This window comes from Homo sapiens, chromosome 3 (assembly GCF_000001405.40).
Source record: "Homo sapiens chromosome 3, GRCh38.p14 Primary Assembly".
NCBI lineage: Eukaryota > Metazoa > Chordata > Mammalia > Primates > Hominidae > Homo > Homo sapiens.
The window spans coordinates 63,903,404-63,920,355 of record NC_000003.12 but is presented as its reverse complement, the minus strand read 5'-3'; the positions used below and the strand labels follow the sequence as shown (position 1 = coordinate 63,920,355).

General features: G+C 42.8%; 1 protein-coding gene and 1 non-coding gene across 6 annotated transcripts in view, besides 4 other annotated features; one reads left to right on the top strand and one right to left on the bottom strand.

The window, feature by feature from the left end:
• Nucleotides 1-16,952, bottom strand: part of ATXN7 (ataxin 7) — a 140,319-nt gene that overhangs the window by 83,107 nt on the left and 40,260 nt on the right. For 3 of the 5 annotated variants that reach the window (NM_001377405.1, NM_000333.4, NM_001177387.1), the window contains 2 exons: nucleotides 7,433-7,768; nucleotides 7,131-7,199 (listed from right to left, as the gene is read on the bottom strand). In NM_001377405.1, coding sequence (NP_001364334.1) covers nucleotides 7,131-7,199; nucleotides 7,433-7,757 — 394 coding nt within the window. In that variant the 5' untranslated portion in view covers nucleotides 7,758-7,768. Of the gene's footprint in view, nucleotides 1-7,130; nucleotides 7,200-7,432; nucleotides 7,769-8,174; nucleotides 8,245-16,158; nucleotides 16,652-16,952 lie in introns of those variants that run through there. The other 2 variants (NM_001377406.1, NR_165270.1) reach the window with 2 other exon arrangements.
• Nucleotides 7,455-8,294: a silencer, noted in NCBI's record as "silent region_14501". NCBI's record gives its function as "represses an Ori minimal core promoter by ATAC-STARR-seq in GM12878 lymphoblastoid cells {active_cell/tissue: GM12878}" and the evidence as "EXISTENCE:reporter gene assay evidence [ECO:0000049][PMID:35858748]".
• Nucleotides 7,640-7,671: a tandem repeat, named in NCBI's record as "ataxin 7 repeat instability region".
• Nucleotides 7,641-7,670: a repeat instability region, noted in NCBI's record as "repeat instability region; expansion of the (CAG)n trinucleotide repeat is associated with spinocerebellar ataxia type 7". NCBI's record gives the evidence for it as "EXISTENCE:polymerase chain reaction evidence [ECO:0000082][PMID:9288099]".
• Nucleotides 7,973-8,844, top strand: SCAANT1 (SCA7/ATXN7 antisense RNA 1). Its single transcript, NR_148359.2, has one exon.
• Nucleotides 8,625-8,704: an enhancer, noted in NCBI's record as "active region_20031". NCBI's record gives its function as "activates an Ori minimal core promoter by ATAC-STARR-seq in GM12878 lymphoblastoid cells {active_cell/tissue: GM12878}" and the evidence as "EXISTENCE:reporter gene assay evidence [ECO:0000049][PMID:35858748]".

The following is a 16,952-nucleotide window of genomic DNA, read 5'->3' as shown; positions in this document are numbered from 1 at the left end:
AAAATGGAGATAATGGTGATACCTAGATCACAGGACTGTGATTTATAAATACCTCATACTTCCCTCCTGAGATTAGAGTTTACAAGAACCAATCAAAACTGTAAATTGGACACAGCTTGGGAACCCCATCCTACTGTGCACATGGAAACATGTGCATGGTCTCCATGAATTGCGAAACATGAGGGTTCAGAAATTCAGCATGGATTGTGCCAGGTGTTACTTTCCAGTAAGCACAAAATTATAAAGATATGGGGCCTAAAGAACAACGTCTGCCTTCTTCTCCAATCAAAATGCAGATTTGTTTCCCCGTGAATTCTTCCTATAACTCCTAAGACCTGTAACAAGGCTTCAGCTTCTCTAAACCAGCTCAGGGGCAGCGATTCTGGAGAATTTGAATGGAAATTCCATGAAAGTTCTGGACTCTTTCTCTTGCATATTTACATACCATGAGGGGCTTAACAGAACACAAGCACCATTCTCATGGTCCATGGCTCTTGGAAGCTGGGGCAATAACAGCGCTATTCGTGCTCTGTATGTGAACTGCTCCCAACCAGGTGTATGCCATAAAAAAGTCACACACCTGGGACTGTTGTGGGGTGGGGGGAGGGGGGAGGGATAGCATTAGGAGATATACCTAATGCTAAATGACGAGTTAATGGGTGCAGCACACCAACATGGCGCATGTATACATATGTAACAAACCTGCACATTGTGCACATGTACCCTAAAACTTAAAGTATAATAATTAAAAAAAAAGATAGTGAATGATAAAAGTGGACAAAGACAGCAACCTTCTTATGTGAAACCATTTCTACTCTCCATTATTTCCTTCTAACTCAACATGTTTCTTTAATATTGAATGAACTCTTGGTTTAAGACTAACGGATTTTATTATTTTGAAGATTCTCCCCTTCAAAATAGACAGTTCAAGAATAATAAGACTGTATTCTGCGATTCTGCAGATTGGGTTTCCTTTTATCAACCAAGGAATTCATCAGAACAGTGGTCAGCAAACTTTTCCTGTAAAGAACCAATAGTAAGTGTTTTGGGATTGGTGGGTCATATGGTCTCTGTTGTGTGTAGTCAACTCTGCTGTTCACTGTATGCAGCAAGCAGCCACAGACAAGTAAATGAATGCCCGTCACTACGTTTCAATAAAATTTAGTTATGGACACTGACACTGAAGTCTCATATAATTTTCACATGTCATGAAATCTTTTGAGTTTTTATTCCAACCAATGCAATGCAAAAACCATGCAGGCAAGATTTGGCCCACACGCTGCAACTGGGGAAAAGTCCCTGCTACAGGAGGGTCTTTCTGGGTCTCTGGGGGTTCCTGCACCTACGCGTTAGTGAAGAGCTTACAAGGAAGGAGACACGCACAGGAGCTGTCAGCAAGGACAATGCCCACTGTCACGGCCACGCTGATTCTCATCTATGGAGGTGTTTCTTAAGTGTGGGCGATCTGTAACCAAATCACCTGACTGCTCCTTACATGTGCATTAATGTTCAACAAGCACGAGGTGATGCTGAGGCAGGGAACTTGGATTTTACCGATTCCTGTCTGAGGCTTGGTTTATATCTGCACATAAGATATAAGCAGACTGCAAGTACTGCCATCTGCAGAACCTTTACACACCCACAGAGAGGATCAGGGATGGTAGCCTGACTTGCCTCAAAAGAAAGGTGCAGAACACAAAAAGCCTCCATTTTGCAGGAAATAAGTTGAAGTCCATGTGAGCAGAAAATAAAAACCAAAAGAAATGATATGCTTCAAAATAATTCACTGTGGGGAGTAGGGCAGAGTTTGTGAAGCAAGACTGGGCCATGACTCATTATTTGCTGAAACTGTGTGATGGATACAAGGAGGATCATTAAAATATTTTCTCTACTTTGTATGTTTCAAATTGTTCATAAGAAACAGTTGAGGAGAAAAGAAGACAAAAGAAACCCTAGAGAAAAACAGAAATGCTATTTAAGGGAGAGGATATTATACCCACAATGTAGTACCTTTAACAGTAAAATACTTCACAAACACCTGTTTTCCATTAATTAACCATGAACCATTTTTTTCCCCTAGGAAAGAAAAAAGGTGGTACTCTGTTGACTCAGTCTGTGTTTACTGAGGCTATCCAACTCCTAGCAAGCCTGTTTTGTTTGTTTGTTTGTTTGTTTGTTTTGAACTCTAGTTGCCTACAGGTGCTAACCACACACTTTTCCATCTTGCCCCAGGCTCAATCACGTTCAGGTTAATTATGAGAAGGAAATAACCTGTCATCAAGTGTGGACATCACACTGGGTTGCTATTCTACTTCTTTGCCTAAATATCAAAGATAAGAGAGGTGATGTCCTGTCTGTACCCTTTCTGGAAAGTGTAAATGGAGCACTATATTAAGGACAGAGCAACGAAAAGTGCTGAAACCTTCTGGCCTCCCCTGGGGCCATACAGCAACACCCCCTAAACACACAAACACACAGAATACTGTCTTCTTTTGGAGTCACAATACAATGAAAAATTGGTCATTTGAATCACACACTAGAGTGACTCAATTCAATCTTCCTAGTAGCTCTACTCATCCACTTTTGGGGCAAATATTTACTGAGCACAATGGTGTGCAGGAGCTGAATATGCCTTCATCAACAACACTCCTGCCCTCAGGGAACTTACTCTCTTAACAAGGAGCCATCACATAATGCAGAGTTTCAAATGCTGACACGTAGAATGCAGAAAGAAAAAGTACAGAGTACTTTGATACCACACAACGGTTAGACTTAGAGAAGTTATGGACAGCTTCCCAAAGAAGATGTCATTTTTCCCAATACCATTGTTGACTCCTACAATGACACAATATAGGTTTTAAAATCTGCTGTGCAACTAAGGCATTTAAAGTTTTTATTTTTTAAGGGTCTCTAAATATTCAGGCACTAATATAGAAACCCTAATCAGTTATTAGTACCAATTAATTCAATCTAAACATAATTTTGTTAACTTTCACAAATCCAAAATCTGTGGAAGTCCGGAATTTCACAAATCACCTTGGGGGAAAAAGCAGTAATTTGTCTTAATCATTTCAAAAACGTTTAATCATTTCAAAAACATCAACCAGGGTTGACGTTTAATCATTTCAAAAACGTCAACCAGGTGCAGTGGCTCATACCTGTCATCCCAACACTTTGGGAGGCCGAGGTGGGTGGATCACTTCTGGTCAGGAGTTCGAGACCAGGCTGGCCAACATGGTGAAACCCCGTCTCTACTAAAAATACAAAAAGTAGCCAGGCGTGGTGGCAGGTGCCTGTAATCCCAGCTACTTGGGAGGCTGAGGTAGGAGAATCGCTTGAACCCAGGAAGCGGAAGTTGCAGTGAGCACAGATCGTGCCTGTACCATTGCACTCCAGCCTGGGCGACACAGCGAGACTCCATCTCAACAACAATAACAACAACAACAACAAAAAGTCAAAATGTATTACCAATTTCTTCCCACCAAAATTAATCATGCTAACAACTAATATTGCAAATTACAGAACAAGAATAAGGCAATACAAATACAAGAATGCAAACAAAACTAGGTTGACCTCTGAAAAATAACCAAATTTTGTCTTAACATTTGCCTACTTGTGCCAAATGGCAGAAGAGGGAATGATATACTACCTAAACCACAAATAATTTCCCTCCATCTAAATCAAGAGTTCTAACCTTCTGCCACAACATTAACCCTTGGGTATTCTTGCCTTGGGTAGGTTTACTACCTAAACCACAAATAATTTCCCTCCATCTAAATCAAGAGTTCCAACCTTCTGCCACAGCATTAACCCTTGGGTAGTCTTGCCTGATAGGAGTTGGTCAAAGTAATGTGTTACAAGAGGAAAAAGTGAAAAGAAAAAACAGGCAGAGAGGTTAGCTTAGCAGTTTTGAATTTTAGGGGTGGGGACGTGTAAATGATCCTTTTGAGAATCCAAGGGAAGCTGTGAACACCTACCCTAGAAAACTGACATATTATTTTGCATACAATTTCAGGGGAACTACAATCCCCTGAAGCCTTTTCAAAGGTCACAGATTTTAAAACCCTGTACCTAGAAATATAGAATTAAGAAGTCAGGTTATCAACAGTTGAAAGAGTTAAAAGGAATTAGTGTGTACTGAGTCATTCACATATTATCTAATTTAATTTCAGCTCCTACAATAACCTTGGGAAGTAGGTAGTATTATCTTCCAAAGAGGGAAAGTATATTCAGAAAGATGAAATAACTAATGCAAGGTTAAGCAGCTTTCTCTCACATCCAGGCTTTCTAACCCCTAGGTCCAAAATTGCACATTGGAGAATTCAAGTCAAGTGCATATTCCTAGAGATATTTCAAGATGAGGAGTTTCTGGCGGGGGTGGTGGTTCATGCCTGTAATCCCAGCACTTCGTGGAGGCTGAGGCGGGTGGATCACCTGAGGTCAGGAGCTTCAGACCAGACTGACTAACATGGTGAATGAAACTCCATCTCTATAAAAAATACAAAAATTAGCCAGGTGTGGTGGTGCGTGCCTGTAATCCCAGCTACAAGGGAGGATGAGTCCAGAGAATCGCTTGAACCCAGGAAGCAGAGGTTGCAGTGAGCCGAGAACTTGCCACTGCACTCCAGCCTGGGTAACAGTCAGACACCGTCTCAAAAAAAAAAAAAAATAAATAAAGGGTCATTTCTGACTTCCAGTGATTCACTCACATGATCAATTTATCTACATATTTCTTCAATTTAACAAGAGGAATCAGTATGGATTCAACTTCAAAACATCTTTTCTTGGTAGCTGATAATTTTAAGCAGACAATGAATGAATAATAGTCTAATAAGTTTTGATAATATTAAATGTATTTTCATTTCTGAAGCAGCCTACAATGGTCTGTTAGGAGAACATAAAGGTCCACTGAGTGAGTGCTGAACATCCTCAAACTTGGATTTTAAAATATCCCCACATAATCCGCAAAGTCACAAACAAATGAAGAACTGACTGAATTTAAAACTTCGGTCTCAACTCAGACAGGTGTACGTTCCAAGTGGCCTGGTAGCTACAGCATCCTCTAAATGGTTAGAACAACTTTAAAAGGGGGAGGAGGGGAACCCTTAAAAAACACTAACAAGGGCCAGGCGGTGGCTCACACCTGTAATCCCAGCACTTTGGGAGGCCGAGGCAGGTGGGTCACGAGGTTAGGAGATTGAGACCATCGTGGCCAACGTGGTGAAACCTCCTCTCTACTAAAACACAAAAAATTAGCTGGGTGTGGTGGCCCGCCGCCTGCAGTCCCAGCTACTCGGGAGGCTGAGGCAGGAGAATCGCTTGAACCTGGGAGGTGGAGGTTGCACTGAGGAGGTGGAGGTTGCACTGAGCCAAGATCGCACCACTGCACTCCAGCATGGCCACAGAGTGAGACTCCGTCTCAAAAAACAAAACAAAACACTAACAAGATCCATGTCCCTTTTGTGCCTCAAGTAGGTAGTTTAACGTCTTAGTTCTTCATGAAAAACATGCTGATAAAAGTATCCCAACAGAAAATAATATATCTAGCAAAAATGAGGTACAGTCCCCTTAATTTGGTTGGGTCCCTGTCCAGCTCAAGGTACCCACTGAAACATTAATACACTTAACTCATCCTTTACAGCAGAATTATTGATAATTACAATCTTGTTTTCACACAGATTTAGAAACGTTTTATAGGATATGTATCCACACCCAGAGAATGAAAACTAAGAACAAGAGTAGGTCAGGTCCTCTAAAGTTCTACTCTAACTGCTTACTGTGAGAGTTGCCACCTAGTGATTTTAATTTTTTAAGCCCAGGCAGGCTGCCAATTCAGCACTAAAACCGGACTAGCAACTGATTTTTCATATTGCAACATCATCAACAAGTCCTGTGCTTTCCCTTGCTTTCCTTTACCCTCAAATAGCAATTCTCATTTTAAAAATCAACTAATTTGTTCTATAATCTGTTCCAATTGGAAGCTCTCATCGGGCTGTCACTGGTATTACTCTTCCTCCGAGTGCCAAGAGGCCAAAAAGCGCCCAATTCAAAAAAACCGAAACAGAGTTAAGTGAAGAAAAAGCAGGTGTGAAAAGCGAGAAGGAAATGTGAAGACAGTAACAATGGGCAAACTTTGGACTTAAAAATGTTCCAGTTGCCAAAGTTCTACCTATCCTTGGGCCATAGACAACAATTCTGCAAAATAAATGGCTACGAGTGAGAAATAAAATTGCATTCGGGGACTATAAACTCAGTATTCCGGGGCCAAACCTCACTCAAAGCCTTGTCCTAACTCACTGAAAGAATAACTTGAAACTGAACCCGAAGTTCACTGGACTTCAGAAGTCCTTTCTGACCACGGTATGCCCAGGCCTAGTGCAGGTATTAGACAACAAAAGCTTACTATTCAAAGAAAAAGAAAATCTCAAGAAAAAGTCTGACACTTTCCAGATACCTGGCCTGACTTTCATTTGGAGGCATACCCTATTTCCCTAGTGTATCTTTTTACCAAACAGTTTAAAACTAACAAATAATTAGACCCTGATTTCACCAGCCACGGGCAGTAAAGGCTTATTTGACCAAATAAAATTCTGGCTTTCTTTCCCCCGTGATATTGGCAGCTCGCAAAAAATCTGACCAAAATGCACTCCGGGTTATGATGACCTTTTTCTAACATCCCCAACTTGTACCTTAAATCCTACAGAAATAAGACTGCATAGGTAAAGCATCTTCTTTAAGTTCAAAATTCGTTTCGATTGCCAACAGAAAATGTCCCCTAAGCATTCGTGGAAAGGTTTCAAAGCTGAGAATTCCTTCCTCTACTCCTGTTTCTCCGTAAGGAGGTCAGAAATGCAGAGATCTAGGTTAAACTTCCCGCCGGTTCCCAGCGCTCATCACCAATAATGCTGCTCCTGCCTGGTCACAGAAGGATTCCGGACGCTCTCATTACAGGAGGCCCCCAAACCAAACTTTCCAAGCGCTCTGCCCCCTCCCTCCCTCCTCAGGCAGCATCTTCGCAGGCACGGGGAGTCGGGGAGTCGGTATGGTGGGCTGATGTTCCCGGTCCCAGTGAACTGTCAATGAAACTTCCCAGGGGTTTGTACAAACTCCATCAGGGGGGCTGGACTCACCTTCCCGACAGAGCCCCATGACTTCGCGGTTTTTCCCAAACTCCTTGAAACTTTCGTCCAATTCTGTCCCTAGGAGATATACACACACAGGAGGAGGGGAGAGGCAGGTCAGTGGCCAGGAGTGTGACGCACACTCACGCACGCACGGGGTAGGTGTGGGCACCTCCGCGTTCCGCAACCCAGCAAACGATAGCATCTCTGCCCCTCGAGGGGGCGGGTCACAGGAGGGGGGCAGGGGGGAGGGGAGGAGAGAGGAGGGGGTCGCGAGGGGGTGAAGGGGGGAGGAGGGCGTGGACACTCACCGTCCTTCCCAGGAAGTTTGGAAGCCTCAACCCACAGATTCCACGACTGTCCCAGCATCACTTCAGGACTGGGCAGAGGCCTGCGCTCCCCGACCGTCGCCATTGCGGCGGCCGAGGTGGAGGCGGCGCCGGGCCCGCCGTCCTCCGGCCGTGTGCGCCGTGGCGGCGGTGGCGGGTGCTGCTGCCGCTGGGGCTGCGGAGGCGGCGGCTGCTGCTGCTGCTGCTGCTGCTGCTGCTGCCGGGCGGCCGCGGCCGCTGCTCCGCCCGCCGCCGCCGCCGCGCGGCGCGGCTCCCCCCTGACGTCATCCGCGGCCCGCTCCGACATTCTTTCCGCTCCTACAATGTAACAAAAAAAAGGGGGAAAGAGTCGCGCGGGGGCCGTTTTTTAAGGAGGCGCCAGGGAGTTCCGGCGGCGTGCGCGGCCCGCGGACCGGGTGGGGCACGCTGACAGCGCCCCCATGGCCGCCCAGCCCCCCGAGCCCGCCTCCTCAAGGCCACCCCCCGCCCCGGGCTCAAAGTCCGCGGCGCGGGCTAGCTTTCGCTTTCGACTCCCGCGGCCGCCCGAGGGAGGGGACGGGCAGCAGGCGGCCCGCCACCGCGGCGCTGGGTCCCCTGCCTGCTTCTGCTCAGAGGACCTGGCGCGGAGGCCAGCGCCGGAGCGGCCCGGCTCCAACCCCGCGCCCCACCATGGCAGCCCGCGCGGGGAAGCCCGAGCCGCACCCCAGGACCTCCAGCTGCCCACCCTTCGGCCGCTTGCATCCCCGGGCCCGGCCCGGCTGCCCCGCTCCTTCCTTCCGTCCGCGCGTCCGTCCGAGCGGCGGCACCCGGCCGGCTCCCTTAAGCGGAGACGCCTCCCGCCGCCTCCTCCCACTTGCCGGTCCCTCCCTCTCAGCTCGCTCCGGCGAAGTTTGCACGTCAAGCCCCCGGACTGGAGCCAGGGCGAAGTCGGAAATGCAGCCACCTATGGAGGAGCCGGCCGGCCGGCCCCAGGGCAGCGCGGGAGAGGCTGGTGCAGGGGGCACTTTGCCCTCGGCTTGCGGGCGGCCGCAGAGTTGTCAAAAGCATGAATGGGAAGCCGCCGCAGAGCGGACTCCGGGCGTGCAGGGAACCTTGGGCTAGCGGGGAAGTGCCTCCCAGGTGTCTGCCCAGGTGTCAGGACGAAGTACCGTGTGCACGCCACGCCGCCCACATGTGTGCCCCCGACCCGCAATTGGAAGTCACACTGTGCGCCTGGGGAACTTGAATTCGTCCAGCAAAGAGAGAACATGAGATCAGTGTGCGAGGGAATGGAGGAGAGTGAAACAAACCGAGAGAAGCTTTAACCCGTGTACATATTTTAGAGGCACCACCCCAAGTTTCTGGAAGTGATTCATTCACCCCAAAAGTAAAAATCTGATTCATTTTTAACTTGAGTTGTTAGTCCTTCCCTCTTTATGGTTGTCTTTTCTTGGGCAGGACGAGACCCTAGGGATTAGGAGAATATAAGGAATTCCTACAAAACATGTTTAGAAAATACTGTTTTCGGTCAAATTTTGTTCACTAAATTAAGCATTGGCCCGCAAAACTTAGCACCCCTCCCCAACATACACAACATTTGCTTAGCGATAGGCTACAGATGGCAAAATAAAAGGCTACTTAATGACCTAAAGCATTAAAAATACTTGAAACAGTAGCAGACCACACCACTTTCAATAATTGTTGATATTACTATTTTCTCAAATTGATGTGAAAATTTGAAGCCTGAGACAAAAACAGTGATTCTTATCAGCATGTTTCACGCATGTTTCACACTGCAGTAGTATCAACTCCTGTAATGTGTGTCAGAGATGCTTGCTCACAAGTGCTTTCTCTGACTAGATGGGGAGGAAGTGGAATTCTTTTTTTTTTTGTACCTCAAACATCTGATGTGACAGAGGTAGCCAACTTCTTTGTTGGTCCAACTTGCAGAAACACAGGAAGTTTACATAAGCATAAAAATTAATAAAGAAATGTCACTGCAACCCAAACATAAGGTGGGATTGCTAGAGAGGGTTTGGGGTTCAAAATTTAAAAGCGCACACACACACACATACTTACACATACACACACACACACACATTTTTATTTTAGAAAGATTTAGAAATAAGTCTGTAAAATTTTTTCCTGGATTGCGTGCAAACAAGTCCAAAAAGTGAAACCATGGTTACTTCCTGTCCTTATCAAAATAACCAAAATAGTAGAAATGATTGGAAAGATTTAATTTTAAAAATCATTTCTACAGCTTTAACTTCCTCCATAAGACTATCAATGAGAAAAATGCACAGGAGTAAAACATATAATTCCCTTGACAGGAATAGAGTTCCCTTCTAACTTTTAACATAGCTTAGATGACCCCTATGCAGATTTTCAATTTTTCATTCATTCCAAATCACTGCAAAATCTGAATAATTACATGAAAACACCCAACCTCTGTTTTCCTAAAGTACACAATTTATTACTTGGAATTGTGAAATTCTACACTTAAGAAAAACGAAAATTTGGATTTTAACGGCATTTGAAGCTACCATTGAAAAGAAAAGCTTGCGGCCACCAAGCCATATAGATAACAAAGGGAGCTTGCTTGTTGAGTACAGCTCTTCAGATCCCTGAAACTACAGAGTGAGAACAAAAATAAGGAGAATGGCAAACATGAAGTATGGTCCTACTTCCTCAAGACATTGCTTGACTTTCCTCTTTTGGATGTGAAACTACTTCAAGATTCACTAATATGACTTCTAGCCAATGGGGATCAATGCAGCAATTTAGAGTACTTCAACTTCTTTCCCAATTCCTGCTTGATACCTCTTTTTTTCTTCAAAGTTTTTGATTGGTTTAATAAAACACAAGCGGGCTTAAAATGAAAAATATTAAGTATCCTCTTGGCATTATGATCGTTATTAAGGGAAATTATTACAAATAGCAGTTACCAATTATTGAGTACCTCAATACTCAAAACTAATAGCAAGCTATCAATTATTGAGGAATCTCATAAATAAGCACTATAAATAAGTGTCTTATATTAAACTGAGCAATTCAGCTCAATCCCTTAGGAAACTTACTATCAAACTGAAGAGGATGTGCAGACAAGAGATTGACGGGCATTTCCTGGTATTTCTTCAACCAGTTCTCTTTTGCTGCAGCCAATGCATTTTACCCACTCTTTCTTCACCCATAAAAAAGTCCTAACTCCTAGAAATGTTCTGATATCCATAGTCGTTAGAAGTTTCCTTAAAGTTGGAATGAGTCACCAAAAAAAGTCAAAACAGCAAGCTGACACACTGCATCTGATATCTGAATTTTGGCAACTTTTAAAAGCATTCCTTATGCAAAGCATACTGTTTATAAACAAGAGTACAACAGAAACCCAATACTTAGCTGTATTACCTACAGTCCCACAGTAAAGAACTTGATGACCTCTTACCTAGATAATCCCCTTTCCATACCACCAAATTATAAAAAGAATATAACTGTGTATAAATTTTTTTTGTGTGTATGTGTGTGTGGAGATGACAAGGTCTCACTATGTTGCCCAGGCTGGTCTCAAACTCCTGAGCCCAAGCAGTCCTCCTGCCTTGGCCTCCAAAAGTGTTGGGATTATAGGCATGAGCCACCACACCAGGCCAATACAATTTACATTCACTTAATATGTTATTTTAATATAGTATTATGCCTGTATAATATCAATCAGTGCTTCTGCCAGTGCATTTCTGATGATGCCTTGTAACTCTGAGGAACTTCACTGTCTGAAAACTTAAGTAATAATTCATTTTATATGGCTTGAATAATGAGTATTCAATTTATCCAACAATTCCTGATTGCCTGCTACAGACTAGGCACTCTACTAGGCACCAGGGTGAACACAAGATAGTAATTTCACTGAGTATGTGAGAAAAGTAGTAAGTAGGGGAAACAATTCATCAAAACTGTCACCACCAACTAGATTGTCTATGGCTTAAGAACTGGGCTGTCAGAGGTGAAGTACTGCTAATTCTGTGCATTTCATCCCTTCCAAGGACATATTTAAAATGTGGTCTTATCTCGTCACCCAAATTTAGGGATGTTCTCAGTAGATGCCAAGGCTAACAAGTCTCTCTTTACAAAAAGGATTCTTTGCACTCATAAAATGTTTTGTTCCAAGGCCAAAGGTATCACAATGTACAAAAACAAAACAAAACAAAAAGTTGACCTTTCCTACATTAAATCCAGTTTAATGTAAAAAGGCTAAAACTACCCAAAACATTTCTAAGATACAAGATCCCACACAACCGTCTTCAATTGGAAAAAACCACCAGTCCCAGTACAACATTTTAATAAACTTGAAAAGCAGTTAACTACAGTATACTTATCTGTGTAAATTACAGGGTTGGTAACAGAGATTCTCCATTATCAACCCCAAAGGACTGAAGTCATTTGAGTAACAAGAAACTCAGATCCACTAAATTAGGAATGTGTTGGCTTTGGTTTCTTTTTATCTTCCTAAAATTGGCTGAGCCTTTGTTCAAATCCTCTCTCACTCCTCTGACTACATCTTTCCCCTTTCCTCGTTCTTCTCCAGAGAGAGCCAGGGCTGTATTCTGCACAAGGGGCATGCCTTTCCTTAACTATGCTCCCTCTAGTGAAGTACCTTACAGCTTGTCATGAATATCAGTATTCCAGTAGAGGGAGAACAGTGGAAAGAGTAAATTGAATTCATCAGCTTAGTGGCTGGAATTCATAGCAATCAAGTGCAAAATTAGGAATAATAAGGAAAGTTGCAAGAGTGAGGACTTAAAAGATAAGACATAAATAGCTTTTTGAAAACTCAACCTGTACACATACTCATTCTATAGTAAAATGCATCATTTGCTAAACATCTCAAACCCTTAAATTTTTGGATTGTTTTCTTAATCATATGTTTGCATGTACATATGAACTCTCCCAAAGAAACATTCACCAGTAATAGCAAATTGCTTGAAAAGAGAAGAAAATTTGAAAATACACATATAAAAGGTAATAATAAATTATAATATAAAAGGTAATTAGTAATGCCCAGTGTTTCTAGGGATTTAAAACTGGCTTGTAATTTTATGACGAACTTGATTTGAAATGTTGATTTAAAGTCTTTCGGCTGAGGAATTTTTTACAAATAGAAAGTTTCAAGTTATAGAAAAGGAATGGAGGCCAGGCGTGATGGTCTGATGCCTGTAATCCCAGCACTTTGGGGGACCAAGGCTCAGGTGTTGGAGACCAGTCTGGGCAACACAGTGAGGCATAGTCTCTACTGAAAAAAAAAAAAAAAATACAGCCAGGCATGCAGGCATGTGTCTATAGTCCCAGCTACTCGGGAGGCTGAGGGGGAGGACTGCTTAAGTTTGGGAGATTGAGGCTGCAGTGAACTGAGATCGTGCCACTGTACTCCAGCCTGGATGACAGAACAAGACCCTGTTACAAAAAAAAAAAAAAAAAAAAAGACAAGGAATGGAAAAGTTGGACCAATATTCAGCTATAAAAGGAAGTCGACTGTATAGAGTTCTAGTGTACTGCGTCAGCTACCATAAAATGCAGGTTAAACACATTGTTAAACGTAATTTCCCATGTACCTTTGTACTGACAATGCTGTAAATATCACCATTTTTGGGGGCTCAGCCATTAAGAGCGTGGGTTCTAGGGCCTATCTGCCCAGGCTGAATCCCACTTCTACCACTACGAGCTGTGTAACTCTGGGGAAATCACTTAGCCTCTCTGTGCATATTTCTACATCTATAAAATGAGTAAAACAAGAGTAACTACTTTATGAAGAACATTAAGAAATTTACAGTGCAAAAAAGCACACTGTGTCAGCTATTACTATTAGCACCATGCTTGTCACATAGTAAGCCCTAATTCTAATCTATGTACGCTATACTATCAGACCAATCTTGCTGAATTATGGCTTTAGCCATGTTAGTGATTGCTCTAACATTTTTAGGGGCTCCCCACTGACGGATAAAATAAATAAAAACTTCTCTCCTAGCATTCAAGGTCCTCTACAGTTTGCCCTTGCCTCAGCTCCACCACTTCTACACTGTTCAGTTGCCTCCTGCAGGTAGTCTATGGTCTAGCCCAAATGACAAATTCAGAACTTCAAACATGCCCCCACCCCAACCCCATCCAACTCCCAGTTCCCAAGCCTTTGCTCATATAGGACACTCCATCTTTAACAGTTTCCCTCCCTTGGCAGAAATCCTGCTGTTCAATCAAAGTTCTTCCACAAATTCCATTTCTTTAACAAACTCTTTCCTGAACCCTCTCACTAAGCACATACATGGGAACTCATCCCCACCTCTATATCACAGGACTTCATGGATTCAGAGTTAAGAGTATATGCTCTGAAATCAAGGTGACAATGAGACATACATTTAGTCTCCCAGAGATCAACAGTTTGCATTCCCAACATAAGGGTGTTATTTAGAACCTGGAACCCACTTTCCCACAAACCATAAGACGAGTTGTAACCATGTCTCCAAATTGGTCAGCAAAATGCCTTTGGGGTGAAACCTAGGACGAACAATGCAGGTGTGTTAGTATAAGAGGGAAGGAACAACACAAATGCTTCTTCCTCCTTTCCTCAGCCAAGGTCCAGCTCTAAGCAAAGCTATAGATCCAGCAAACATGACACCCTTGACTTTCCCACATTCTGTCTTTGCACCGTGATCCAGGAGCCTACCTGGGTTTGTACTGCTTCTCAAAAGACAGACTGTTCCACAAAAACTTGCACTCCCTTTCCACCTCCAAAGTAAAGCTCTCCTTTTCTTGGTAGAGGTAAAGGCCTGCAGATTTAACTATTTTTCACTAATGTGTATGAATGACTATGAATGAATACAGTTACCTGTCCTCCTCTCCTCCCAAGTACACATTCAAAGAAATATAAAGGGTAAGACCTTACCCCAGATGACTTCTAGGTGTACTGGTTCATAAACCTTTCTTCCTAGAAACACACAATTACTAACCACACTCTTATGGCCATTCTGATTTTAAATGACATCATCTATGGCTCAAGACAAATATTTATTTTCACCAATTTAATCTTTTATTTTAACCAATATTCTCTTTTGATAAACATAAAATTTTCAAGACCTGGAGACCTTGATCCTCTGTCCACTTCCTACTATGCCCCCACGTCTACATCAAGGTGTTCTAAGTGAAGGAACTTCAGGAGTAGAAAAGGGGAACCAAAACAAAATTGCTCCTGGTGAGAAATCTGCCTTTCCTGCCTTCCAGAGCTTGCTCCATCTCTTCAGAAAACCGGTATTTTCAAAAAGCATGAGGATTTTTCCAAATGGTTTCTGGGGCAGTGGCAGCAAAGCAGCAATCACAAGCGGGCAATTAGTGGGTTGGAATCTGACTTACCAGGTATTTCTTTTTAAAAACAGAGCCAAGGCCGGGTGCGGTGGCTCACACTTGTAATCCCAGCACTTTGGGAGGCCGAGGCAGGCAGATCACGAGGTCAGGAGATCGAGACCATCCTGGCCAACATGGTGAAACCCCGTCTTTACTGTAAATACAATAATTAGCTGGGCGTGGTGGCACGTGCCTGTAATCCCAGCTACTCAGGCGGCTGAGGCAGGAGAATCTCTTGAACTAGGGAGTCAGAGGTTGCAGTGAGCCCAGATTGTGCCACTGCACTCCAGTCTGGCGACAGAATAAGACTCCGTCTCAAAAAAAAATTAAATTAAATTAAATTAAAAAAGAATGAAAACAGAGCCAAATGGGTAAATTGAACTTCATCAAAATTAAACTTCTGTGCTTCAAAGGATGCCATCAAGAAAATGAAAACCCACAGAACCTACACATTTTTGCAAATCATTTATCTGATAAGGGACTTGAACTAGAATGTAGAAAAGAAAGAACGCAGCCCAGTAAATTAACAACAACAACAAAAAAAGAAGGTCAATATCATTAGTCATTAGGGAAATGCAAATCTAAATCAGAGATACCACCTCTCACCCACTAGGATGGCTGTAATAAACAACAACAAAAGAACAGAAAATGAAGAGTGTTAGCAAGGATATGAAAAAACTGGAATCCTCATACATTGCTGGCAGGAATGTAAAACAGTGCAGCCATTGTGGAAAACAGTGGTAGTTACTTAAAAGGTTAAACACAGAATTAGCATATGATCCAGCAATTCCACTTCTAGGTATACACTCAAAAGAACTGAAAGCAGAGACTCAGATACCTGAGCACTAATATTCATTAGCAGTGTAATTCCTAAAAGCCAAAAGGTGGAAACAACCCATATGTACATCAACAAATGAATAAACAAATTGTGATATATCTCTACAAAGAATATTATTGCCAGGTGCAGTGGCTCACACCTATAATCCCAGCACTTTGGGAGGCCAAGCCAGGCAAATCACGAGGTCAGGAGTTCAAGACCAGCCTGGCCAAGATAGTGAAACCCATCTCTCCTGAAAACACAAAAAAATTAGCTGGGCATGGTGGTGCACGCCTATAATCCCAGCTGCCTGGGAGGCTGAGGCAGGAGAATCGCTTGAACCTGGCGGGGGAGTGGGGGGGGCTTGTGGTGAGCCAAGATTGTGCCACTGCACTCCAGCCTGGGCAACAGAGTGAGACTCCATCTCAAAAAAAAAAAAAAAAATTATTCAGCCATAAAATGAAGCACTGATACATGCTCCAACATGAATAAATCTTAAAAACATTATGCTAAATGAAAGAAGACAAATAGGTCACATATTATTTGATTTCATTTAGGTGAATTAGCCAGAATAGGCAAATCCATACAGACAGAGAGCAGATTAGTGGTTTCCAGAGGCTGAAGGAAGAGAAGATGGAGAGTGACTGCTTAGGAATGCGATGGGGTCTCCAATGTGGGTGCTAAAAATGTTTTTGACCTAGATAGAAGAAACAGTTATACAATCAATACTGTGAATACACTAAAAACCATTAAATGTACAGTTTAAAGGGGTAAATTTATGGCATTTGAATTACATCTCAATAAAGCTATTTTTTAAGCCAACATTAAAACTTGGAAAATTTCACAAAAAATTCCAGATTGACTTATCTTGAAAAAATCCTAAGTAAAATCTGACACCACCAGCCACAGCATTCCTCATAGGAACATGAGTTGGAGATGAAGCTGGTCCTGGAACCCATCTCTGCCACCACCTAACTCTGGACGTTGGCAGGATAATTTTTTCATCTGTACCTCAGTTAGCTCCTCTGCAAAAGGAAGATAACAATAATATCTACCTCATCAGCTTATGAAGAGTCAATAAATTAATATGTTCAGAATAGTGCCTGGCACATATTAAGTGCTCAGTGTGTTAGCTACTTTCACATTTTATAACAATTCATTCTCTAATAGAGGTATGTGGCCGTTACTTTTCAACTTTTTGTTTGTTTTTACAAATAAAATAGCATATAATGTAATGGTCCAAACGAAAGAAGTGCAATGACAGCCAAGATAAACATTTTCTAAAGAAACATGCAAAAAATACTATGAATCATATGTGCCTTTTTT